Source organism: Homo sapiens, chromosome 12 (genome assembly GCF_000001405.40).
Source record: "Homo sapiens chromosome 12, GRCh38.p14 Primary Assembly".
In the NCBI taxonomy this organism is placed as follows: Eukaryota; Metazoa; Chordata; class Mammalia; order Primates; family Hominidae; genus Homo; species Homo sapiens.
The window spans coordinates 127,379,553-127,381,565 of record NC_000012.12 but is presented as its reverse complement, the minus strand read 5'-3'; the positions used below and the strand labels follow the sequence as shown (position 1 = coordinate 127,381,565).

Genomic DNA, 2,013 nt, shown 5'->3' with positions numbered 1-2,013 from the left:
ATGATTTAATGAGAAGGGTGGCTTGGTCCCTGACCATTAGGAGAGACGTGTCTATTACAGCCTCTCTGCCCTGCCTCCCACCCCTTATCCCAGGGCACTCCAGATGCACATCATCCCCGCCTGAGAGAAACAGCTAGGGAATGTTCCTAAACACTCCTTTTTCTTGCGTAGCTGATTGCAGAGCTCATTAGGCCTTTCGCTAAATGACTTGACTTTGACAAGGAGTAGAGATGGCGTTTTGATTGGCATCAGCTTCTCCTCCGGAAAAGGGCCTAGTGGGCGACGGTCCCGGCGCGCCCGCTAGATGGCGCCGCAGACCGGGTTGTGGCCGCGCCGGCCGCGCGCCCTCCCCTCCCCGCGGAGGCTCCCAGAGCCCCTGCCCGGCAGGTCCTCTCCGTGAACTCGCCGCGTCCTCAGGACCTGCGATTTCCAGGCCTTCCCGGTTTCCACCTGAGTGTGAGCAAATGAAGCCTCCCTCCTGCAGCCCGAGCCAGCGCTCAGCGCAGCCCCTGACCCCTGGCTCCTGGCAACCTGCTTCAGCCAAAATCTTAAGAGGCTTTATTACTTTTATTTAAAATGATGCATGCTCGTTATAACATTATTAAACTTAGGAAGAAAAAAATTCTAAGCGCAGCGCCCTCCAATACGACCATTAGACGCATGGATAAGTAACTGACACGTGGACATTATAACAATGAAATCCTACTCTATAAGTTGTATTCTATTTGTGAAAGTGTTCGTTTTTATTTATGATTATAAGAAGACAAAAAATCCAAAGTAGAGTTGATGTGTTTCATTAAAAATAGAGTATTCCATTGTATATGGTGTGTGTGTGTGTGTGCGTGTCTGTGTGTGTGATCACATTTTCTTTACCACTAATCCGTCCACGGGCACATCGGTCATTTCTATTTCTTGTGAATAATTCTGCAAGGAACATGTGAGTACTGAGATCGCTTTGAGATGGTGATTTTCTTTCCTTTGGATATATAACTAGAAGTGGGAATGGGAAATCATATGGTAGTGCTATTTCTAATTTCTAGAGGAACATTCATCCTGCTTCCCATAATGGCTGTATCAATTTACATTATTCAGCCTTTAAAAAAAAGAAAGAAATCTGCTATTTGAGACAACATGGATGAACCCGGAGGACATTATATTAAGTGAAATAAGCCAAAGAAAGAAAGACGAATACTGCATAATCTCACCTCTATGTGAAATCTAAAAAGTCAAACTCATGGAAACGGTGGAGGAGTGGTTACCAGAGGTCGTGGGATGGGGAAAAAAGGGGAGTTAGTGGCCAAACGGTGCAGACTTGCAGTTACAAAATGAGTAAGTTCTGAAGACCTAATGAACAACATGGTGCCTGTAGTTAATAACATGTTGTTTATTTGAAATTTACTAAGAGAGTAGAGCTTAAGTATTCCCACCACACAAAAAACAAAAAAATTAACTATTAATATATGAGTTGATGGACATGTCAGCTTAATTGTCTTAATCATTTCACAGTGTAAATGTTTATCAAAACATCACATTGTACATTTTAAATATGTACAACTTTTTTTTTTTTTCTTGAGATGGAGTTTCACTCTTGTTGCCCAGGCTGGAGTGCAATGGCATGACTCGGCTCACCGCGACCTCCGCCTCCTGGATTCAAGTGATTCTCCTGCCTCAGCCTCTAGAGTAGCTGGGATTACAGGCATGCGCCACCACGCCTGGCTAATTTTGTATTTTTTTAGTAGGCATGGGGTTTCTCCACGTTAGTCAGGCTGGTCTCGAACTCCGGACCTCAGGTGATCCACTTGCCTCCGTCTCCCAAAGTGCTGCGATTATAGGCGTGAGCCACCGCACCTTGTGAATTATACCTCAATAATGTTGAAAAAATACCAAAAATCCCCCAGAAAACATATTAACTGACAATGATATATTTTTAATTTTTAAAATACCCTGGTAATACTGAGGGGAAAAAAAGCTTGAATAAAAAGTAGATCAAGGTGTGGCACAATTAAGTCATTA

General features: G+C 43.7%; 1 annotated feature.

Moving 5' to 3' along the window:
- Positions 293-402: a silencer, noted in NCBI's record as "silent region_5086". NCBI's record gives its function as "represses an Ori minimal core promoter by ATAC-STARR-seq in GM12878 lymphoblastoid cells {active_cell/tissue: GM12878}" and the evidence as "EXISTENCE:reporter gene assay evidence [ECO:0000049][PMID:35858748]".